At 37.7% G+C, this 26569-nt stretch overlaps 1 protein-coding gene across 9 annotated transcripts in view; it reads left to right on the top strand.

Annotated features, from left to right (window-relative positions):
- Positions 1 to 26569, top strand: part of SEM1 (SEM1 26S proteasome subunit) — a 228221-nt gene that overhangs the window by 79966 nt on the left and 121686 nt on the right. For 5 of the 9 annotated variants that reach the window (NR_038948.2, NM_001393904.1, NM_001393902.1 and 2 more), the window contains one exon: positions 7238 to 8224. The exons of the other annotated variants lie outside the window; for them this stretch is intronic. Coding sequence is in view for 2 of the 5 variants with exons in the window: in NM_001393904.1 (NP_001380833.1) it covers positions 7238 to 7265 (28 nt within the window). In the remaining 3 variants the exon portion in view is untranslated. Of the gene's footprint in view, positions 1 to 7237; positions 8225 to 26569 lie in introns of those variants that run through there. 9 annotated transcript variants of the gene reach the window in all.

Genomic DNA, 26569 nt, shown 5'->3' with positions numbered 1-26569 from the left:
TCTGGAGGAACCACTGCATTATTGGGCATGGGGTGGCCCCTAAAGCACATACAGCTTAGATCACAACTCCCAAGTCCTTCTGAATATATGGAAAGCCTTCCCAAGGAGGATGGGTACAAACAAGCCCAGACTGAGAAGACTACAATGAATACCTAACTCTTCAATGCCCAAACACAGACAAATATCTACAAGTGTCATGACCATCCAGGAAAGCATGACCTCACCAAATGAACTAAATAAGGCACTAGGGACCAATCCTGGAGAAACGGATATGTGACCTTTCAGACAGAGAATTCAAAATAGCTGTTTTGAGGAGACTCAAAGAAAAATCAAGATAACACAAAGAAGGAATTCAGAATTCTATCAGACAAATTTAGTAGAGATTGAAATAACTAAAATGAATAAAGCAGAAATTCTGGAATTTGGCATACTGAAGAATTCATCAGAGTCTTTTAATAGGAGAATTGATCAAGCAGAAGAGGAATTAGTGAGCTTGAAGATAGAGTATTTGAAAATACAAAGTTAGAGGAAACAACCACAAAAAAGAATAAAAAAGCAATGAAGCATACCTGCGGGATCTAGAAAATAGCTGCAAAAGGGCAAATCTAAGAGTTGTTGGCCTTAAAGAGAAGGTAGAGAAAAAGACGGGTAGAAAGTTTATTCAAAGGGATAATAACAGGGAACTTCCCAAACCTAGAGAAAGATACCCATATCAAATACAAGAAGGTTATAGAACACCAAGCAGATTTAACTCAAAAGACTGCCTCAAGGCATTTAATAATCAAACTCCCAAAGGTCAAGGATAAAGAAAGGACCCTAATAGCAGCAAGAGAAAAGAAACAAACAACATACAATGGAGCTCCCATATGTCTGGCAGCAGACTTTTCAGTGCAAACCTTATAGGCCAGAAGAGAGGGGCATGACGTAATTAAGTGCTAAAAGAAAAAGAAAACTAACCTAGATTAGTGTATCTGGTGAAAATATTCTTCAAACGTGAAGGAAAACTAAAGACTTCCCCAGACAAACAAAAGTGGAGAGATTTCATCAACACCACACCTATCCTACTACAAATGCTAAAGGGAGTACTTCAGTCAGAAAGAAAAGAACATTAATGAGCAATATAAAATCATCGGAAGCTACAAAACTCACTGGTAATAGTAAGCACAAAGAAAAACAAAGAATATTGTAACACTGTAATTATGGTGTGTAAACTACTCATGCCTTAAGTAGAAAGATGAAAAGATGAAACAATTGAAAGGAATAACTAGAACTTTTTAAGACATAGGCAGTATAGTAAGATATAAATACAAACAACAAACAGTTAAAAAGTGGGAGGATAAAGTTAAAGTGTAGAGCTTTTATTCATTTTCTCTTTGCTTGTTTATGCAATGAGTATTCAGTTGTCATCAGTTTAAAATAATGGGTTATAAAATACTATTTGCAAGCCTCACGGTAACATACATAATAACATACGATGGCTACAAAAAAATAAAAAGCAAGAAACTAAATTATATCACCAGAGGAAAAAACTTTCACTAAAAGAAAGACAGGAGGAAAATTAAAAAGGAAGAGAAGGCCACAAAACAACCAGAAAACAAATAACAAAATGGCAGGAGTAAGTACTTCTTTATCAATAATTACATTGAATGTAAATTGACTAAATGTACCCAATGAAAAGATCCATTGATCTGTCACCTACAAGAAACACAAATAAAGATAACTATAAAGACACACATAGACTGAAAATAAAGGGAAGAAAAAAGATATTCCATGCAAATGGAAACAAAAAAAGAGTAAGAATAGTTATATCAGACAAAATAGATTTCAAGACAAAAACTATAGGAAGAGACAAAGAAGGTCGCTGTATAATGATAAAGGGGTCAATTTAGCAAGAGGATATAACATTTTAAATATATATGCACCCAACACCGGAGCACTCAGAGATATAAAGCAAATATTATTAGAGCTAAAGAGAAAGATAGGCTCCAATACAATCATAGTTAAGAGACTTCAACACTCCATTTTCAGCATTGGACAGATCTTCCAGACAGAAAATCGACAAAGAAACATTGGACTTAATTTTTACTATAGACCAAATGGACCTAATAGATATTTACGAACATTTCATCCAGTGGCTGCAGAATAAACATTGTTTTCCTCAGCACATGGATCATTCTCAAGGATAGGCCATATGTTAGGTCACAAAACAAGTCTTAAAATGTTTTAAAAAGTTGAAATCATATCAAGCATCTTCTCTGACCACAATGGAATAAAACTGAAAATCAATAACAACAGAAATTTTGGAAACCATACGAGTACGTGGAAACTAAACAACATGCTCCTGAATGACCAGTGGGTCAATAAAGAAATTATAAGAAGGAAATTGAAAATCTTCTTGAAACAAATGATAAAGGAAACACAAAATACCAAAACCTATGAGATACAGCAAAAGCAGTACCAAGAGAGAAGATTACAGCTATACGTGCTGGCATCAAAGAAGAAGAAAAACTTCAAATAAACAACCTAATGAATTAAATTAAATTAAAGAATTTGAAAAGCAAAAGCAAACCAAGCCCTAAATTAGTAGAAGAAAAGGAATAATAAAGATCAGAGCAGAAATAAATGAAATAAAAAAGAAGGAAACAATACAAAAGATCAATGAAACAAAGATGGTTTTTTGAAAAGTTAAACAAAGTGACAAAACTTCTGCCAAAATAACTGAGAAAAAAGAGAAGATCCAAACAAATAAAATTGCAGATGAAGAGGAGACATTACAACTGATACTGCAGAAATTCACAGGATCATTAGATGCCAATAAAGTTGAAAACCTAGAAGAAATGGTTAAATTCCTAGATGCATAAAACCTACCAAGATTGAACCATGAAGAAATCCAAAACTGGAATAGACCAATAACAAGTAATGAATTCAAAGCTGTAATAAAAACTCTGTCAGTAAAGAAAAGCCCAGGACCTAATGGCTTCACTGCTGAATTCTATCAAACATTTAAAGAAGAACTAATACCAATTCTACTCAAACTATTATGAAAAATAGAAGAGAAGGGAATACTTCCAAACTCATTCTGAGGTCAGTATTACTCTGATACCAAAATCAGACAGATACATCAATAAAAGAAAACTAACTACAGGCCAATATCTCTGATGAATATTGATGCAAAAACCCTCAACAAAATACTAGCAAATTGAATTCAACAAAACATTGGAAAGATCATTCATCATGACTGAGTAGAATTTATCCTTAGTATTCAAGGATGGTTCAACATATGCAAACCAATCAATGTGATACATCATATCAACAGAATAAAGGATTAAAAAACCCATATGATCATTTCAACATCCCTTCATTATAAAAAATATTCAAAAAACTGGATACAGAAGGAACATACCTTAACATAATAAAAGCCATATATGGCAAAAGCAACCTAAGTGTTCATTAACAGATGAATCAATAAAGAAAATGTAGTACTTACATACGATGTAATACTACTATTCAGCCATAAAAAGAATGAGATTCTGTCATTTGCAACAACATAGATGGAACTGGAGGTCATTATGTTAAGTGAAATAAAACAAGCACAAAAAAACAAACTTTTCATATTCTCATTTATTTGTGGGATCTAAAAATCAAAGCAATTGCACTTATGGACGTATAGAGTAGAAGGATGGTTACCAGAGGCTGAGAAGGTCAATGGGGGTTTGGAAGGGGAGGTGGGATGGTTAATGTGTACAAAAACAACAAAAAGAAAGAATGAATAAGACCTATTATTTGATAACATAACAGGGTGACTATAGGCAAAAATAATTTAATCATACATTTTAAAATAACTGAAAGAGTATAATTGGATTGTTTGCAACACAAAGGATAAATGCTTGAGGGGATGGATACCCCATTTTACATCATGTGATTATTACACATTTTATGCCTATATCAAAACATCTCATGTACTCCATAAACATATACACATATTATGTACCCATAAAAATTAAAATTAAAAGTTAAAAAAATTATGATGACCAGGTCACACTTAAAGGCAAATAAGAACCTCTGTGGCATCAGTTTTATTTTACACACCACGTGTAAACCCAAAGTGTAGCCAAATTTAAGAACTGCTGTTCTACACTCCTGCAAATCAAAGTATGGTCTGTGGTTCAGCAGCATTGTTATAACCTGGAAGCTTGTTAGAACAACTGATCTCAGATTTATCATATATGCAGATGACTTTGTTACATTAAAGTTTTAGTAGCACTGCTTCCACAAGGGGTTTCAGCCTTGTAGCTTAGATCCTAAACTTTGAGACTTATTATTTTGCTTATGATTTTAATTCATGCAGTGGGGAGCAGTGACAACACTAGGGAGTAATTCCAAAGATTTGTTTCAAAAGAGCATCTGGACTTTTGAGGAAGCCACATGTCCCTGCAGGGATGTCATTTCATCCCTTTTGCTCTTGTTAACTTTATCTTTAAGTTTTTGTTGTAGTTCTTTCATTTATTTTGTTCCTGGTCTTGCACATGTTTGGTGACTATAACAGGTTGAGGGGAAATATGATGCTAAGTGAGATGTGAGGCAAGTGAAAGCCTTCATGCACTTAATGTAAAAATGAAATGACACCCTAAATATAAAGTGTGAATTGCTTGTAGATGCGCTGGCACCCTGAGGTGTGGGAGGAGAAGGAGGCAGTAGCCACAGTACTCACCTGAGCAGGCTGGCTCAGCTCCCTGTTGGAACAATGGGATTCCCTAATGGCAAAATCACACCTGAGCCTCCTTTAACACTCCAAAAGCAGCAACCTCCTTATGAGCAGGGGGAGTTGTTTTTCAAGCAACATAGAGTCCTGATAAATAACGTTTTCACTTAGGTAGAGTCAGTCACTTAGCATTGAAACAGCTTTCTAGATATGATAGGTATTTTTAGAATTTGCATTAATTCTATCAGCATTATGGCTAAGAAATGGGCTGAGCAATAGCTAGTAGAAGATTGGCTAAAAGTCTACAAGGATTTCCCCTTGCTTTTAGAATCTCCCTATCACCCCATTGCAGCCCCAGGTTTGTCCTGTGCTCATGTGACCTATGTAAATACCTTACACCTTATATCCCTTCCTGCTCCCTACTCCCAAACACATGCACAAACTGGGAATCCCCTGTGCCCCCTTTCTAAGAGAGTCTTTCCTAGCTAATAGTGGAATGTTGGAAGGGGACATCCTGAAAGACTCAGCATAATTATTAATGTGGCTAATATTTATCAGGTCCTTTCAATGTGCCAAGCACTTAATGAGCATTATTTCATTTCATTCTCATAACAATTGTCTGAATTTAGTATTATTATTATTATCCCCATTTTGTAGAGGAAAAAAATAAGTAACTGACCTGAGATCCCACAGCTATTCAAAGTCAAGCCTGGTGGGATGCAAACTCAGGCATTCTGTCCCCAGAGCCCATGCTCCGACCCACTTGACCCACTACACTAAAAGAGCTCCCTAAATGAGACTCTCTTGACAAAATGAGGAACTTAAACTTGGCTTGGTATGAAAATCCTAAGCACAAAATTTTAGACTAATACAATGTACTCCCATATATCTACCACCTAGATTTATCAACCATTAACTTTTTGTCTTATTTATTTCATCCATATTTATTTTTATTGAGTCACGTAAAAGTAAATTTTAGATCTTCTTATATGTCATCCCTTTAGTAGATAGAATGGTGGTTCCAAAAACATATAGCCATGCCCTAATCTTCAGAACCTATCAATATTACCTTATATGTTAAAAGATGGAATGTTACCTTATTTGGAAAAGGGGTCTTTGCAAATGTAATTAACTTAAGAATCTTTAGATGAGGAGATCATCCTGGTGGGCCCTTATCCCAGTGGGCCCTAAATCCAAGGATAAGCATCCTTGTAAGAGAAAGCCAGAGGGAGATTTGACATGCAAGTTCCTTGGCAGCGGCAAGCCAAGGAATGCCAGGAGCTAACACAAGCTGGAAAAAGCAAAGATAGATTCTCCCCTAGAGCCATCAGAGGGAGCACAGTCCTGCCAACATCACTTCAGTCAAAATTCTGGTTTCTGGAACTTTGAGATAATAAATTTCTGTTATTTTAAGCCACCAAGTTTGTAGTGATTTGTTATGGCAGACCTGGGAACAAGTACAACCTTTCAATGATTGAGTATGCATCACCAACAAAATCAGGATATTCTTCCATATATAGACAATAAAATGATCATATCTAACAAAATTAACATGAATTCCATATATATTTATATAAACAAGTATATATTTATATATAATAAACAAGTACATATTTTATATAAAATAATACATTTATATAAACAAGTATATATGAATATATTTAGATATATTTATACAAATTTATCTATTTAAATATATAAATTATATATTTAATATTATATAAATTAATATAATTTAAATATATAGAGAGAGAAGAAGAAGAAAAAGAAGAAGATTCTATTCATTATTATAAAGAATTGGCTCATGCAGTTATGCAATTATGAAGGTGATGTTCTACAATCTGCTGTCTACAGTTGGAAACCCATGAAAGCTGGTGGTGTGGTTTAGCCTGAATCAGAAAGCCTGAGAAGTAGGAGAGTCAATGTTAAAGTTCCAGCCTGAATCTGAAGGCTTGAAAACCAGAGAAGTTGATGGTATAAATCCTAGTCCAAAGGCAGGAGAAGACTGATGATCCAGCTCAAGCAGGTGGACAAGAGAAAATTTTTCCCTTCCTTTGCTTTTTGTTTTATTCAGGCCCTCAGTGGATTGATGATGCCTACTCATATTGGGGAGGGCAGTCTTCTTTACTGAATCCAGCAATTCAAATGCTAATTCTATCCAGAAACACCCTCATAGACATACCTGGAAATGATGTTTAGCCAAATGCCTGGCACCCTGTGACTCAGGTGAATTGAAATAAAATTAACCATCACAGATGTCAAGACTGGCACTGACCCCAAAGCATTTGTATTCCATGCAGAGCTCACTGTGGCTAGAATTTCACCTTTTGAAATGTCTGTATTTATGTAAGTTTTCCCTGCTTCCTTTGAAAATGCCACATTTCTAGACAGTTGCATGCATTACATGACTAGCACAGTGGTATTAAGTGATTTTATGATCTACATGGCTTTTCCACTGATCAGATGGTCAAACAGAATTTGAGGCTAATAGGTGTTTGAAAAAGAAAACCTTCACCTACTTTCTAATTTTTCCAGGGCTGGATACAGTGAACTGGAGGAATAGCGGGGAGAATTGCCAATACTCAGGAGTCAGGCTTCACATTGATCATGCAGCTAATAAGAAAGAAGGCAAAGGTACCAAGCCCCTTGCCATATGAGAGCTTCCAGCAACTTTGGCAGAAGATAGAAAGGAAAATACTACTACTATTTAGAAACTGCACTGATATTTCTTGACTTCTCCTGAATCGACTACTGTTTTCCCCTCAGTGATTCAAATACAAGAGAAATTTTTCTCATCATTCTGTGTCTCAAAGCTCTGAAATAAGGCATCTTTTCCTGTCTTTTATTTGATTTAAGGCCAGCTTCAAGCATTTATTGAACTGATTAGCACATTAGTTTTATTTTTTTTTTCCATGTCCTTTTATGTTCTGGTGAGTTTATTAGGTGAGGCCAGTTTCCTTCAGAGAATTTAATCCAAAGGCCTTTACTAGAAGGCTGGCATGTTTCCTTTTCTCATAAAGATAAGGAAACATCAACAGGCATAACATAGCAGAATGTCTAGCCTAAGTTATGGAAAAGATTCCATGCCATACTCCCTGGTGAGGTTGACTTCACACTTACTGGCTTACTTCTCCTGATACTTGGTTTACAAGTGAGACAAGTAATCCCCTCTGAGGGTAACTGGTCATGTTTCTTTGTTTACTCTGGGGGTCATTTTGCCACTAACAGCTATGCTGGCTCTATGCAGAACTTCAAACCTCAGGCTGTCTACCTGAGCTATAGGGAAGAAGAAGCTACAGAGTTCCCTTTAATAAGACATCAGCAATACATTTAGCTGTCAGAGAAGATGGGTCATATTTAGGAATACATGGAGAATAAGTTTTAAAAGAGAGAGAATCCAAATGTATTGTACTCTTAATTAGAGGTCCCTAAACTGCAAATTCATTTGCTAATATAATTTCTCATGCTTTTTATTTCAATAATGTATGTATTCGGTAATGTCTGATAAATACTTGCACTTCATTTTTTGTTGCCCACTCATTTATTAACTTCTGCAGCAGTGTCTTGGATGGAGGGAGAACTGGAGAAGCACTGAATAGAAAAGAGGGTGATATTACAAAATCCCTGAAGTTGGAGAAACACAAGCAGCCTGAACACACTTCTGTCCTCACCAATGGGAAAAGCTCAGCTGCTCTTTCATTTTGCTTCTACATTCCCCAAACCCCAGGCTACTCTACAATCCTTTTTTATATCTTTTAAGATAACATTTTATATTGAGGAAAGATTGAACAAAGGTATTGAATTATCCAGAACAAAATGGAAACTTTTTGGAATTGTGAAGCCTACCAAAGCTTCACAATTCAACTCATCAATTATGTGGATGCTGCAAAGACCAATTTTTAAAGAGTGTTTGATATTGCTTAATTATACTTATTTATTACTTATTTGCTTCTTGTGCTTATTATCATTAAAGAAAAAGAAAGCAAAATTTCAAGCTTTCCTGGACAACTCTTCCAGGACAATCAATCTACTTCTATTCCATATTTTCTTAATTTTAACAATACATAATTATGTACAGTAGATTCTCATTGGTGGGAACATAATGAATACAAATTTTATACTGGTCATACATAGTGTGTTCATGTAAGATGGGTCAAATCTGGGGCAGACCTCAGAGGGCGTCCTGGAAGATGATGACATGTGGAGTGACACCACCAAATCCAACTGCCCCAAAACACACAAAGCCCCAAACTACCAAAATCACTCAACAGGTAAATAAAAACATACAAATATAAACAGGTAAATAAATTGGTCTCTAAACAGGTATGCAAAAATATAAACTAAAAAAAACATAACATAGAGTGAGCACAACAGACAATGGGAGGGGAGAGGGATCAAAGAGGCTGATTAGAGGCAAGGAGTACATGCGCCCTCCATGGAGAGGAACCAGAATAGTAAGCAGATACTCCAAACAGATCATCGAGGAGAGAATTCACCAGAGAAGACATGGGAAGCACCAGAAGTAAGTAAGGAGAGAGTTTGCGACAGCTTGCTGGCAGGGGGCTGAGAGCCAGGAGAGGCTCGCGGGTGTGGGAAAACCTCAGGGCTCCGAAATGGGTTTTTACAATCTTGGCTACAAGAGAATCCCTCAACCCACTAGGGCCTCAGGCCTGACACACAGAGATGCCTAAAGACTGCTCAGAGACATTGCTCCAGAAAGGGTACCCCACATGCCTCCAAGCCAAGAGCAGCCTCAGCTGGGCACCATTCTGAGAGTCTAGCTACTACGGATCTACAGACATGGCTGCTGCTGCTGCACTGATTCTAGGAGACAGAGGGAGAGGCTGGGTACTCCCGTGCACCCCCTGGGAGGGTCCCTACTGCCCTGCCGCAGGCTGCTGTTGAGACTGAGATGTGAGTAGACTACACTTGCACTCCCCTTGGTATCTTGCCTACACTGCTTGCCTGGGAGGTGCCCCACCCTCCCTGGACCCTGGACGCAGGCCCAAAGCACCATTTCGAGTCTAATGCTGGGTTGTGTCCTGCCCTCAGGCTAAGTTCAGGCCGCCATGGCTGCAGCTGCTGCTAAGGAGGATCAGGGAAACTAGGCTCTCCTACATATATCTAGAATAATACCACTGTTCTGGAATGAGTGGCATAAGACTGAGACACAAGTGGACCACACTCCCCACAGCTTCTTGCCCATGCTACCTGCTTGGGAGGGGCCTCACTGCCCTCACTGGTTGCAAGACGAAGGTACCATTTTGAGAGTTTAATGCTAGGCTTCCCCCTGCCCTTGGGCAAAGTTCGAGTTGACGTGGCTGCACCTGCCACCCATCTAGGGGAAGAACATGGGAGAGCAATCTCTCCTGAGCACACTTAGGACAATACCCACTGCCCTGCTATGGGTGGCTGTGGGATTACGGACTAGGCTTCTCAGCCTGTTGCAGCTTCCAGCAATACCAACACAGACTGCTTGGGTCCCGGTGGTTGCTTTTCTACTGCTACTTTCATCACCCACACCACACCAACTGCCCAGAGGTCTGAGAACACACCCACATAACTGGCCCACTGCTCCCACTATTAGCTTCCAAGCAAGCCACCTGGAGGCTAAGAAGAAGCCCTCTAGAATCCAGTAACATGGTGCCAGTGTCAACTGCTCTGGGGCCTAAAACAGGCACACTCACCCCGCTGCTGCCACCACTGGAGCCCAAAGACTGGCTCATGTGCCATCCAAGTCCCCAGATAAACTTCACCACAACCTCAGCTAATAGCTATGCCTTAAGTCACTAAGAAAATCAGATACCACTGATCCTGTGTACCGCTGAAGAAGTTATACAAAAATCACACTACTGCTGGCACCCAAAGCCAAAACCAAAGTATCTTAATCAACAAAATACATACATACTCAGGAAAAAATTTTTTCCTACAAAAACAATTTCAAAAAATTAGAACAGACAACTGCTACATTAGATGTGCAGATGTCAATGGAAAGACACAGGAAATATGAAAAAGCAGGGAAATATGATGCCACCAAAGGACCACAACAATTGTCTAGCAAGTTTCCAATCAAGAATTCCTTGAAATGCGAGATAAATAATTAAAAATATTGATTTCGAAGAAGCTTAATTAGATGAAAAAGAAATCTGAAAACCAATACAGAGAAATCAAAAATCAATTCAGTATATGAATGAAAAATTTACAAGAAGATAGATAGTTTGTTTTTTTAAGACACGGTCTTTCTCTGTTGCCCAGGCCAAAGTGCAGAGGTGTAATCATGGCTCACTGCAGCCTTGAACACCTGGGCTCAAGTGATCCTCCCACTTCAGCCTCCTGGGTGGGTAGGACTACATGTGCATGCCAGCCACAACTGGCTAATTTTTAAATTTTTTTGTAGAGATAGGGTTTCACCCAAGCTAAGATAGTTATCTTAGAAAAACTGAGCAGAAATTCTAGAAATAAAAGATTAATTGAAGGAAATACAAAATAAGTGTAAAAGCTTCAATAACAGACTGGACCAAGCAGAAGAAAGAATGTCAGAAGCTGAAGACTGGTCTTCTGAAATAATCCATTCAGACAAAAATAAGCAAAAAAGAATAAAAAAGAATGAACAAAGTCTTTGAGACACTGGGACTACATAAAGTTACTGAACTTACGAGTTATTGGTTCTCCTGAAGGGGAAAAGGGATAAAAAAGTTTATAAACTCTATTTCAAAAAATAATTGATGAAAACTTCCCAAGCCTGTCAGAGAGTTAGCTAGATACAGGAGGCTCAGCAATCCCCAGGCAAGTATAAAAAGTAGTTCCCCACAGCATGTTGTATTCAGAATATCTAATGTCAAAGTGAAAAAACGAATTTTAAGAGAAAAGCATCAAGTCACCTGTAAAGGAAATGGATAAATTCTGGAAACATGCAACCTCCTGAGATTGAAGCAGGAAGAAATAGAAACTTCTGAACAGATCAACAATAAATAGCGAGATTGAATCAGTAATAAAAAAGTCTCCCAACAACAACAAAAAAGCCCAAGTTCAGATGGATTCACAGCTGAATTCTATCAAACATACAAAGAACTAATACCAATCCTTCTGAAACTATTTTTAAAAAATGAGGAGGGGGGAACTCTTTGTAACTCATTCTGTGAGGCCAATGTCACCCTGATACCAAAACCAGACAAAGATACAACAAAAAAGAAAACAAGAAACCAATATCCCTGATGAACACAGGCACAAAAATCCTCAAAATAACACTAGCAATTCGAATCCAACAGCATACTACACCATGATCAGGTGGGATTTATCCCAGGGATACAAGGATGGTTCAACATATGCAAATCAATTAATGGGACACATCACATAAACAGAACTAAGGACAAAAAATATATGATAATCTCAATATATGCAGAAAAAGTATTTGATAAAATCTGGCATTCCTTTATGATAAAAGTACTCAACAAACTAGGCATAGAAGAAACATACCTCAACATAATAAAGGCCATATATGACAAACCCATACCCAACATCATACTCAATGGTAAAAAGTTGAAAGCATTCTCTCTAAGAACTGGAACAAGACAAGGATGCCCACTTTCACCACTCTTATCCAACACAGTACTGGAAGTCCTCACCAGAGCAATCAGGCAAGAAAAGGAAATAAAAACATCCAAATAGGAGAAAAGGAAGTCAAATTATCCCTGTTTACAGATTCTGTGTTATTATATCTAGAAACCCCTAAAGACTCTACTAGAAAATTATTAGATTTGATAATAAATTCAGTAGTTTCTGTCCAAAATTAATGTACAGAAATCAGCAGTGTTTCTACACAACAATGATCTAGCTAAGAACCAAATCAAGAAGGTGAGTCTACTTATAACAGCTAAAAAAAGAGGAAATACCTAGGAATAGATTTAACCAGGGAGGTGAAAGATCTCTATAAGAAGAATTATAAAACACTGATGAAAGAAGTTGTAGATGACATAAACAAATGAAAAAAACACCCCATGCTCATGGATTGGAATAATCACCATCATTAAAATACCTTACTGTCCAAAGCATTCTACAGATCCTATGCAATCCCTATCAAATTACCAATGACATTTTTTCAGAGAATTAGAAAAAACATCCTGAAATTCGTATGAAACCAAAAAAAGAGCCTGAATAACCAAAGCAATCCTGAACAAAAAGAACTAAGCTGGAGGCATTACATTACCTGACTTCGAATTCTACTACAAGGCTATAGTAACCAAAGCAGCATAATACTGGTGTAAAAATAGACATATAGATCAATGGAACAGAATAGAGAACCAGTAATAAAGACATATAATTACAACAAACTGATCTTTGACAAGTCAATAAAAATAAGCAGTGGTGATATGACATACTATTCAATAAATGGTGCTGGGAAAGTTGGATAGCCATATGTAGAATAATGAAACTGGACCCATACCTCTGACCACATACAAAAATTAAGTCAAGATGGATTACATACCTAAATATAAGACCCAAAAATATAAAAATCCTAAAAGAAAACCTAGGAAAAACTATTCTAGACATTGCCTAGGTAAAGAATTTATGACTAAGTACCCAGAAGCAAATGCAACAAAAACAAAAATAGACAAACAGGACTTAACTAAACTAAAAAGCTTCTTCACAGCAAAAGAAACAATCAACATTGCAAACAGGTAACCTACAGAATAGGGAAAAAGTATTTGCAAACTATGAATCTAACAAAGGGCTAATATCTAGAATCTTCAAGGAACTCAAACAACTCATCAAAAAAACAAACACTGAAAAAAAACCATTGTAAAGTGGGCAGAGGAAATAAACAGACATTTTTCAAAAGAGGACACACAAGTGGCCAAGAAACATGAAAAAATGTTCAGCATCACTAATCATCAAAGAGATGCAAATTAAAACCACAATGAGATACCATCAAACACCAGTTAGAATGGCTGTTATTAAAAAGTCTAAAACCAATAAATGTTGGCAAGGATGTGAAGAAAAGAGAATGCTTATGTACTCTTGGTGGCAATGTAAGTTAGTACAATCTCTATGGAAAATAGTATGGAGGTTTCTCAAAGAGCTGAAAATAGAAGTACCATTCGATCCAACAGTCTCACTACTAGGTATATACTCAATGGGAAAGAAATTATATCAAAAAGATACCTGCACTTATATGTCTATCACAGTACTATTTTCGATAGTAAAGATATCAAATCAACCTAAGTGTCCATCAGTGGAGGATTATATGAAGAAAATGTTCATATTTATTACTCAGCCATAGAAAATAATGAAGACATTTTTGGGTTGGAGGCCATTATCCTAAGTGAAATAACTTAGAAACTTAACACTTACAAGTGGGAGCTAAACAATGTGTACACAAAGGCATACAGCATGGAGTAATAGACACCTGGAGACTACAAAAGGTGGGAAGGTGGGAGCGAGTTGAGGATTGAAAAATTACCTATTGGATACAATGCTTACTATGTGGGTTATGGGTATATTAAAAGCCAAGGCTTCTCTACTACGCAATATACACATTTAAGATATCTGCACTTGCACCTCCTAAATACATAAAAATTTAAATAAAAAATTGATGATGGACTCTTAAAAAAATCATATGAGTTGGGCTGGGTGTGGTGGCTCATGCCTGTAATCCCAGCACTTTGGGAGGCTGAGGCGGGCAGATTACCTGACATCAGGAGTTTGAGACCAGCCTGGCCAACCTGGCGAAACCTTGTCTCTACCAAAAATACAAAAATTAGCCAGGCATGGTGGTAGGCGCCTGTAATCCCAGGATTACTCAGGAGGCTGAGGAATAAGAATTGCTTGAACTTGGGAGGTGGAGGTTGCAGTAAGCCGAGATGGCACTACTGCACTCCAGCCAGCCTGGGGAATAGAGCGAGACTCTGTCTCCAAAAAAAAAAAAAAAAAAAAAAAAGATGACTCAAAAAATAACCCAACAGTCCAGTCCACAGAAGAGGATGATGGAAACTGGTAAATGCAATCAAATCCCTTGTGAAATCACCTGTTGAAATCTTTTCATTTTTATGAGGTTCAGAAAGGCAATGGGATTTGTCCAAAGTCTTAGTTAATACTCAATTCTGCCTTTGTCACATGGAAGTAGTCATATGCAATATGTAAAAATGGATATGGCTGTGTTGCTACAATCCTTTACTTACAAAAACAGCCAACAAGTCAGATTTTGTCCTTGGGCTGTAGTTTGTTGACTATTGATAGAGGCTCATAAGAAAAAACAATAAGAATTGTGACCTTATACTATAAACTCTCCTCCTCTCCAAACAAAGCAATTGTCTGTGTGTGTGTATGTGTGTGTGCACATATGTGTGCACATGACATATATTTGTGCAAAAGGCAATATGAACACTTCTGTGGACCAGAAATGGAATAGAAACCCAGAGCTATCAGTTGGGTTGAAGCATATGCACTAGGTAGCATGTGCAGAAGGAGATGAAGACAGACAATAGAGAACCCAAAGCTTTTCACACCATGGTGAGAGACCTGAACTGGACTCATTATGTTACACCAGGAGCTAAGGCGTGCTTCTCTGTTCAAGAAACGAAGGCTGAATAAACTGATACTACTGTTTTCGGCTATAGCTTGCATAAAATATAAGTTGTAGCAAGAAGCAGCAGCAAAAGTCAATCAGAACATTCAGGTCTGGAAAGAGCTTCTTGCTGCCTGAGTGCATGGATCGTTGTATTCACAGTTCATCTTGAAGCTGGAGCTAATTTAGGACCTGGTTCTACTTCTGGGCTGAGGAACTTTATCTAGAAAACTGCTTAGAGCAGAGTGAGACCAAAGACCAAAACCACAAAACAATAAAAACACTTTCTATTCAAGGTGAAACTACAAACCGAAATTTAAGAGCATATTAGGAAATTTAATGTTAAGAATGAAACTAAGAAAACAAAGTATAAGGAGATAAATAGATAAATTCACACATGGCAAAATGTAAACAATGGAACAATCTCTATATGACTTTAAAATAAGAATATTTAAGATCCTCAAGTAGATACAGATAAGAATGTTACCCAGCAAGAGAATTTTGAAAATACAGTAGATGGATATGAATAAAAAACCAAGCAATCTCACTTCTGCACATATATCCAAAGGAATTGAAATTCGTATGTTGAAGAGATGTCTTCACTCCCATGTTCACTGCAGCTCTATTCACAATAGCCAAGATATAGAAACTATGGAAGTGCCCATTGATGGACAAATGGATTTTTAAAATGTGGTATAGATACAAAATGGAGTACTATTCATCCTTTAAAAAGCAGGAAAGTCTGTCATTTGTGGCAACATGGATAAACCTAGAGGACATTATGCTAAGTGAAATAAGCGAGGCATAGTGAGACAAATAGTGTATGACATCACTTATATGTCAAATCTATAAATGTCAAACTCAAAGAAGTAGATAATAGAACAGTGGTTACCAGAGGCTGGGTGGGAGTGGAACAGGCAGAGAAAGGAGAGACATTGGCTAAATGGTACAAAGTTTCAGCTGGACAGGTCTTCCTGTTCTGGTGATTTATTGCAGAACATGGTGACTATAGTTAATAATAATGTATTGTATATTTTAAAATAGCTAAAAGCAAGGATTGTAAATAGTATTACCACAAAGAAATGATAATTATTTGAGGTGATAGATACGCTAATTAGCCTGATTTGATTATTTTACAATGTTTACACAATTATATGTCAATTAAAAATAAAATTTCAAAAAAACCTAAGAGAATTTTCAAAAAATGAATTCCTGACTCTCAAATACATATAAAATAAATGTGTTATAGGTTTTCTTTAATGTAATAAGAAAACTAGGCAGATGTTACAATGAGCTCAAAAGAGAATCCATGAACGGATACATTTATAGATCAAGAATATTAAAACGTGTGCAAACTTTTTCTCTGGGATAAAAGAGACAGAATTTTTATGTCTATAGACAAGAATTATTTTGCATAGCTATCAGTTATCTACAATATATAGAGTTATAAAATATCTCCATAGAATCAGAATTTAACAACCCCAAAAGGTCTCCTCTAGAGTCTAGACAATGCATGGTTTTCCATTAAAACACAACTTTTTCTCTCTACAACCATGATCAAATGTTAACATTAGCTCACTTTAGTTTGCAGGTACAGATGACTTTAAAAAAAATACTTTCTTTTGTACTTTTCTTCATTTAAAAAAGTTTTAATTTTTTAAATTAAAAACAACTATATTTGGCTGGGTGCAGTGGCTCACGCCTGTAATCCCAGCACTTTGGGAGGCCGAGGCAGGCGGATCATGAGTTCAGGAGATCGAGACCATCCTGGCTAACATGGTGAAACCCTGTCTCTACTAAAAATACAAAAAATTAGCCGGGTGTGGTGGCAGGCGCCTGTAGTCCCAGCTACTGGGGAGGCTGAGGCAGGAGAATGGCGTGAACCCAGGAGGCAGAGCTTGCAGTGAGCTGAGATTGCGCCACTGCACTCCAGCCTGGGCGACTGGGCAACAGAGCGAGACTCTGTATAAACAACAAAAAAAACCAAAAGCAACAACAACAAAAACAACTATATTCTCACCACCTCTCAACTCGAGATTCTGATTCTGTAGGTTTGGAGATGGGTCTAAGGTTTGCAATTTTTTAATTACAAGGTTATTCTGATGTGCAGCTGGTTTGGGAACCTTTTACTAGATGGTAACTAACATTCCTCCCAACTCTGAGATTCACAGCAAATGCCCTTGTTTCCCAGTTTGGTGGCAAGGGTGGGATCAAGGCCTAGGTTAGCTAATGGCTAATGAAAGGCTAGAGGCTTAACCCAGAGAAGAAAGTCACAGCAGCCCATTCTATGTCTTGGTTGGCAGGATGCAAATATCAGGTGCCAGACATTTTTTACAGATGAATTTACCATTTCCTTGGAGCAGAATTAGGATAACAGTCACCCAGTGCAATGTCTGGGCAGGCCTATTAATTGCTCTGAGCCTCATTATGTGTGCCCTGTCTACATCACAGGCTACTATGAGAATGTATTTGGAGCTGCTTTATAAACTGTGAAGCGCCTACTCAATGATAAAATGTTGCAATAATGCTTATTAGTACTTACTGGTCATTATTTTGGCAAACCAATTATACATAGCAAATTAGAGATATGCTAGAAATTATACTATGCTTTTTTTATTTGGGGGGGTAAGGAAGAGAAAGGAAAAAATGAGGCTCTTTCCTAGCAGCATAAAAATATGTTTGGAAAAAAACCTAGCCAAACCTAAGAGTCATGAATTGACTTTTAGATAGTAGATCCGATCAGCTTAGGGACCCAGTCATGTAAACAAGATAATAATTTATATTAAAATACAGTTGGGCCAGCTAGCACCGGATGGAAAAGCTCCACACTGTTAGGAGTTGTTCATGAGTATAATGGGATCCAATTGCTTTAAAGGGGATTCTGTGATTGCTTGGTATGTTAGGCTGACCCAAAAGTTCCTATGAAAATAAACAAGTGAAATTCTCAAAAACACATGGTATTCATCAAACTCATCTCTATGACTTTTCATTGTCATCCTCTATGGCTATCTGAATCCTACTCATTTTCCAGATCTGCTTTCTTCCTCCATGGATCTTTATTTTATTGCCCATCACAAGTCATAACTGTTTCTCCTTCCTCTTCACTCTAAGCAAAACTTCTGGTCTTCATCACTCATGTAACTTTTGCTCATATTCCATGGCATGACTGTCATGGAGGACTTGCCAGCCCTTTTTAACAACTTTGTCTCTTCCTTCCTAGGTGATGTAGGAGAGGAGAGACTTTCCCTCTACCTTCCTAAATTTGATAGCTGGGTTTATCCAATAAACTGTCAACAGGCAGATCAATAGGAGAAAAGGTACATAAATTTATTCATTTTTAACATTACATGCACAGGGGCATCATGCGGGAAAAGCACGTGAATCTCTGAAAGAGTGATGAGATTTGAGAGCTTCTACACCATCTTAATGGAGAAAAGGGAGGGAGGCATGTAGGTCATTTAGGAGAGAGTAAATGATTTTTAGAAAAAATGAGAGTCCTTAGAAGAATATATGGGAGATATGATGGTTTGTAACAAAGCTTGTCTGGGTGTTGTGTCAACTTCTAATTTCCTCTATGAGTCAATCTTCCCTAGGTGATGAAACTCCTGGGGGTCGGGGGAATTAAGACAATTGATTTCCTTTTAGAGGACCTGGACCTACCCTTAGGCAAATAAGGGATGTTTAGAGAAAGTCTCTCCCAGCATTTGCTGCTTTTCAAGTGCCTTCAGCTTAAAATAATCAATATACCAAAGCAGCATATTTCAGGATGATATGTCCTGAACTCCTTCAATGATAAGCAGTCTAGGGCCAACAGCAACGCTGTGAACATTTTTGAATCTCCTACTGCCCCCAGGCTCAGTATTTTATGCAAAAGATTGTAGACTCTGGTAACCTTTCTGAACCACTTAAGCCATTGACCAAGACTGTAGAAACTTCCAATTCTATATTGGAAGAGAATGAGTCTTACTTTTTTGCAAGGTCTATGGCATTGATTAATTTTAGAAATTCGTTTTATCTTTCATATTTAAGATATATTGTCACTGACACAAGTAGCTGAATCTGAAGAACAATTAAAGCCAGATATTTGAGCACAGCAGGACTTTGCCTACCTCTCTTGTCTCTTACCTAGAGTATCATTGGTGTCTATATTATTCACCTTCATAGCAGATAATTCTCTCCCTCAGGATAGGAAAATTGATTATCAAAAGCTGCTGGAGCCCGGGCTTGGTGGCTCACACCTGTAATCCCAGCACCTTGGGAGGCCCAGGCAGGCGGATCACCTGAGGTCGGGAGTTCGAGACTGACCTCACCAACATGGAGAAACCCCATCTCTACTAAAAATACAAAATTAGCTGGGCATGGTGGCATGCACCTGTAATCCCAGGTACTTGAGAGGCTGAGGCAGGAGAATCACTTGAACCCAGGAGGCGGAGGTTGCGGTGAGCTGAGATTGTGCCATTGCACTCCAGCCTGGGCAACAAGAGCAAAACTGTCTCAAAAAAAAAAAAAACCTGCTGGAATTTATAACTTATGGTTTCCCTCAGTGGGGAGAGACTAACATGCTTTTTTCTTTCTCAATTTCACAATTACTGGGAAAGCTCTTTAACTGGTCCAGCCTGGATCAGGTGATCATATCTGGACCAATCATCTTTAGTCAGGAATGAAGGTGAGGTTACATTAAAACACAGATTCTTCCATCTGAACCATGTGGTTAGAATGGGAGGAGAAACAAGACAAAACAACAGGTATCAATCATACTTGCACATCTCATCTTTCACCATTCCCAATTAAAATCCATTCTCCTTATTATTTCCTTATACATCTTGCTTCCTTTTGTCTCTATCCCTTTCCTCATAGGCTACCCTCCTGATTTATTTATAAGGCTTTGAGGCTTCTCTTACAAGAAGGGTCCCCTGCCTCCAATCCTCAGGTATCAATTACTTTTGTACAAATATTTACATTCCCCTTACCATTTTTGGTCAAATGCTGTATCATAATGGCATGCATGGTATTGTAGTTAAATTAAGAAGACTCACATTCAGGTTCTTATCCTAAGATTTGCTAGCTGTATGACTCTCTGGAAATTCTCTAACTTCTCTGGGCCTCAGTTTTATCTTAAATCTCGATAAAATGATCATAATGTCTACCTCACATATACATTTTAACATCCAAGTGAAGTAATGCATTAGAAATTACTTTGTAAATTACCATAAACATAAAAAGGTATTTTCATATCTCAATGCATGGTATGGGGAGGGGCTTTGACCTTACACTGGAACATTGATGAAATATGATTGCCCTTAATGCTAGGCTGGGCCCACAGAACACCACTACCATCTATGTCATAGTTCAGATAATGTTTGCATCACTGGATTAAGAAGCAATGGCACACTAATGCTCAATAGGCACAGGCAGATGCTCAATATCATAAGTCTTTAAGGAAAGGTCAACAGAAACTACAATGAGACACCACTTTATATCCACTTGGATGGCTATAATAAAAAGATAATAAGTGCTGACAAGGATGTGAAAAAGCAGGAACCCTCACATATTGCTTATAGGAATGACAAATGGTGCAGTCACTTTGGCAAATACTTCATCAGCTACCCAAAAAGTTAAATACGATTGGGTATTTATACAATTTCTGTTTACCATGTGAACCAGCAATTTCAGTCTTAGGTATATACCCAAGATAAATGAAAACATTTGTACACACAAAAATGTGTACACAAATGTTCACAATGGCATTATTCACAATAGCTAAAAAGTAGAAACAACTAAATGTCCATGAATTGATGAAGGGATAAACAAAATGCAGTATATACATACTATGGAATATTATTCTGTCATAAAGAGGAGGGAAGTATTGTACATGCTACAGCATGGATGAACCTTGTAAACATTAAGCTAAGTAAAAAAGCCAGTCAGAAAAGACTACATATTGTATGATTCTATTTATGTAATATGTCCAAATATTTGGAGACAGAAAGTAGACTAGTGGTTGCCTAGGGCTGTATGTGAGGGAGGGAAAATGGAGACTGGACTCCAAGTGGGTACAAGGCTTCTTTATGGGATTATGGAAAGGCTTTAAAATTAGATTATGGCAATGGTTATGCAACCTTGTAAATATTCTGGAAACCATTGAACTGTACACTTTAAACAGGTGAATTATGGTATATAAATTATCTCAATAAAATGACTTTTTAAATACAAAAGGATCATTCTTAAAAAGAAAAAAAAAATGGAAGTAGTGCCTTGTGCCAACAGGTGGGAAGCACTGATGCTCGGAAGTAGGGTTCCAACCAACACACTCAAATTCAGAGTTGGAACCTCCAGTCTCCCTGGTGGGGTACTAACAAAAGCTCTTTCACAAATCTCCATTCCTCTGCTTATGTACTTCCCTGGGCTCAACATGTCCTTTCCTTCTTGCCTACCAAGTAACTTCTTATTCCTCCTTTGAGAATCATCTCGGGTATCCACTTCTTGGGAGTTATTTCCTATGCTCTCTTCTCTTCCAGACGATGCTAAGGGCTTTCTCCTCTTCAGTTCCAAAAGGAACCCCACACATACCATCATCAGAGTGTTTATATCTGGCTCATCAATACTTTTATAAGTACACCTCCTTATCAGCCCCTGAGTCCCTCAAGGGGAGAGGCAATTTCTCTATCATTTTAATATCTCCAGCACTTGACAAGATGTCTGATCCAGGCAGACACTCAACCAATGCTTGCTGAATGGATAAAAAGGGAAGGTGCCCCAGAAGTAGACTGGAACACTACCTAGAGATTAAGATCAGGGGACTCAGAAACTAAGCCCAAAGTAAAAATCCCATTGGAAAGGAAAGCTGTGTGGAAGTCACCTCCCAAGGCAGGTTCTACATAGGGAATGGGCAAAAGTGACTCAAGGAAGAGAGTATCTCCATGACCAGCTGCCGGAAGTTCAGTGGGCCCAATTGTGGGCAGCTGGGGATGGCACAATCAATGTACATGAGGTGGGGTGGCTGGCTACTATTATTACCTAGTTGTTTCTCTACTTTATTCAATTGAATTATAAAGTCCTTAAGGTTAAGCACTAGAACTTCTTCTTTTATGTGTTCCATAGATACTCCACAAAATGTTTGTTAAATGAGATAATTTTACCATAAACATTTCTTCCTCAAAAAGAGTGAACAGTCTATTTCCTTTTTTCTGATTCAATATATTCTAAACTCTCAAAATGAAATGTAAAACACAGGAAAGTGGTTCCCTTCCAATTTGAGATAAATCCTGTGGGTTTAAGAGAAAATATGTTATCACTGAAGAACTAACTCAAATCATGAAACTAAGTGAAGACAAAACTGCCTATCATGATAGCAACATGACATATTCAACATCTATTTGTTTATTTGTTATTGACTATCTTTCCCTGTAAGATGCAAACTCCATGAGAGCTGAGAATTTTATCTGTTTGTTTCACCAAGGTATCCTCAGCACCTAGAGCAGTTTCTGGCACATAATAGGTACTTAATAAATACCTGCTGATAAAGAGAGGCAAGGAAAGAAGAAAGGAGGGATGGAGGGAGAGAAGACTTTTAGGTATAGAAATGTATAAACACCATAAATTAGTGCCAGATCTGTCTTACTTAACATTGTTATAAGTGATACAAAGAAAATGCCTGCTAGAATAAAATTTTCCACAAAGCTCTTCTGTACAGTGACATAGCAAGGCAATAAGAATAAACTGTAAAAGAAAATAACATGGACATGTGAGTAGGCAGAAAAATAGCAAATAAGCTCCATGCAGACTGATGTAAGATGATATAATAACACATTACGGGAAAATGGTACAAATGTGCCTACAAGATAATGGTTCCTGACAATCAGATCAGAACCAGGAGAGAACCTGAAGGAGTTGTTGAATGTAGCCTACTTTATGCCCAAGAGTTATGCTTCAACCTCAATGCAGTGAAAGAAATAAGTCCCATATTATTTTAATTATGCAGTTCTGGACTTGGATGAAAAATATCTCTGAAAAATAAATACTTTTTTTTCTAATAGTTGTGCCACAATTTTGTTTACTCTCATTCTATGTCCTCCATTCAAGCCTGTTGTGTATGGATGTGGGCCCATCTTCTTGCCAAAAAGGTGGGCATAGCCTCAGTTTAGGTGACACAGTTAGGGTGTCCTCTCTGTGGGAAGAGCTTCTGCAACTCTTGCTGTGGTAGGCTCAGCTGCTCTGAATAAGACAGACCCAATGCCCTTCTGGCTATAGCTAAATAGAATCTGAGCAGTATTTACTATCCATATTTTTTGCCCTTGTTCTCCGTATAAATCTAGTTTACTTAAAGTTGGCTTGAGTAGGCTTCTATTTAGAGTGATCCTCCCTTATCAATTACCCCCAGTGGATGCCTGCAAATGCAGACAGTTTTGAACCCTATGTATACCATGTTTTTTCCTATGCATACATACCTATGATGAAGTTTAATTTGTAAATTAGGCATAGTAAGAGATTAACAACAATAACTAATAATAAAATAGAACAAGTATAACAATATGCCAACATTGCTACTTTTGCACTGTTGGTCCTTTATTAAGTAAAATAAGGGTGACTTGAACACAAGCCCTGCAATACTGCAGCAGTTTATCTGATCACCAAGATGGCTACTAAGTGACTAGCGGAAGGGTAGCATGTACAATGTGGGTACCCTTGACAAAGAGATGATTCTCATCCCAGGCAGGATGGAGCAGGATAGTGTGAGATTGCCTCACACTACTCAGAAGAGAATGCAATTTAAAACTTATGAATTGTGTATTTCTATAATTTTCTATTTAATATTTTTGGATGGGGGTTGACCATAGGTAACTAAAACTGCAAAAAGTGAAAGCACGGATAATGGGGGACTACTGTACGGCAATCAAAGAAACCCCAAGTATCAGTAGGAACTCTATTTCAAGAGAAAAAAAAAATCCCCTATCCCATCCTGCATAAAAATAGATGCAAATCAATTCAACTGGTAAAAGGACTTGAAAGCAGATTCTGGAAACAGATGAATAGTTTACCCAAAGTTGGAAGCAGTCCCAATCTAAATGTACCTTGGCCTATATCTGGAGAGCTTTTGTTTAAAATTCAACTCAGACAGAGTGAGGTCAGAGGGTAACTCCTGACCAGCTCCCCAAATATTGCTATCTAACACCCAGTGCCAAAAATAGAGTTACTTTTGTGTCAATAGACTATGATCTGAAAATCTATGCTTTTATATGATTTTCCTATTGTTTTTCATTGTTGGCCTTCACATGAAATATTTATTTTGGGGAAAAAAATTCAAGACACCATAGTTCGTTGGATTTAGTTTTGGCCTCTGTACCTCACGAATGCCAATGTAGGGCCAAAGGCTGAAGAGCAACTAGGATGACTGAAGGAACTGATGACCTTCCTCACTAGGTTAATTGTCTTTTAAATTAGGATTGCAACATGGAAAAGCAAGAGTTTAGAAGGGTTATTAAAACTAATGAATTCATGAATTATATGTAATTTTTATGTTAACTTATTTAATCCACATAACAATTCTATAAGAAAAGTGCAATTATTATCCCCATTTCACATGGGGAGGTTGAGTAAATTGCTTAAGCCTCACCATGGCAATCTTGGATTTGATTCTAGCTATTCTTTCTGCTTGGTTGGTTGGTTGGTTGGGGTTTTTGTTTGTTTATTTTTTGAGACGGAGTCTTGCTCTGTCTCGCCCAGGCTGGAGTGCAGTGGCATAATCTTGGCTCGCTGCAACCTCTGCCTACTGGGTTCAAGAGATTCTCAAGCCTCAGCGTCCTGAGTAGCTAGGATTAGAGGCATGCACCACCATGCCTGGCTAATTTTTGTATTTTTAGTGCAGACGGGGTTTCACCATGTTGGCCAGGCTGGTCTCGAACTCTGGACCTCAAGTGATTCGCCCGCCTCAGCCTCCAAAAGTGCTGGGATTACAGGCATGAGCCACCACACCCGGCCCTGATTCTAGCTATTCTGGCACCAGAGTTCATGATATTCACCATACACTAGATGACCCCCAATGTATTAAACTCAGCTTGGAATATAAGTTGGAGCATCTTATAAGTTGGAATACTTACAAAGCATGTAAAACTCTTTACATGAAGGTGTGGCTACAAATATAAATAGGCATGACTGCTAAATTCATGAATGTTAAATTCATAATATTACATGAAATGACACTAGGGACATCAGAGGTTATCAACCTACTGATGTTGATGAAAGGGGGCAACCATAATGTCTTCCTAAACTCTGCTTTAGAGACCCTGTTCCAGACAAACCAGAGACATGTGGAAGCCAGCTTCATTCCATACAAAAAGTCTCATGTCCCTATCATATGTCATAATAGTTATGGAAGTAATATTTTAATGATCATTAATAGGTCTCCACAGCTGGTGGCTCCTACTGCTGGTGATGGAAAGTGCAGAATGGTCAATAGATTCTGGTCCCACTGGCCTTCTCATGCATGTATTCATGCTGGGCTGTCTCCATTGCATTACTTCTTTGCTCATGTCTTGATTTTTTACACCCCATCTGTCCTCTAAGGAATATTTTGAAATCAAAATTTAAAATGGTAAAATAAACTTAAAATAACTTTTCTTTAATATTTTTATTCTGTTATGAAGTGTTATCTCACAATTTTACATGCAGCCACAAATACAAAATTTATGGTAGCTGGGCCTGAAGCGTCTCCATATTAAAAAAAAAAAAACTATCCTGTAACTTTCAATGTTCATTAAATGTGGGAAAGGTAAGTTTAGTGAATGAGTTTTGAAATCTCTCTGTGGGAGATTTTACCTAAACACATTTATGTAAACTACTGAAAAGATAAAAAATGTTGAGGTGGGGTTGGAGGGAGGGAGGAGCACTGTTGGGAGAGATTTCACTTGGTGACTGTTGCTATAGGAACCATTTACCAATTGCTCAAGATATCAGTTCCCAAGAAAGACGGGAATAGCAAACAAAATAAAAACAACAAATGGAGAAAACAGTGGGGTCTGGCACCAGAAAAAAACTACCTTTTTTATGTGCGTACACTTGAGAAGATGATATTTTCTCAGGGAGGAGGTTGGGTGGGGAGTAGGGAGGTAGATTCCCAAAATGTGGTGACCATTCTCTCTCAATGAGCAGGTGGTCATGTGTTAAACAAGAGGGAGGTCCTGACTGACAGCCACATCTTCCTCCATAGCTCACTGCCACTCCATGAGTCAATCTTGAGAACGATCATAAACCTTGACTGCAATTCCTTTTTTCTTTTCAACTAGCCTAAAGAACAACATAGTAAG

This window comes from Homo sapiens, chromosome 7, assembly GCF_000001405.40.
Source record: "Homo sapiens chromosome 7, GRCh38.p14 Primary Assembly".
Classification (NCBI taxonomy): domain Eukaryota; kingdom Metazoa; phylum Chordata; class Mammalia; order Primates; family Hominidae; genus Homo; species Homo sapiens.
Note: the sequence above shows the minus strand (reverse complement) of the source record. Positions and strands in the feature narration are given on the sequence as shown.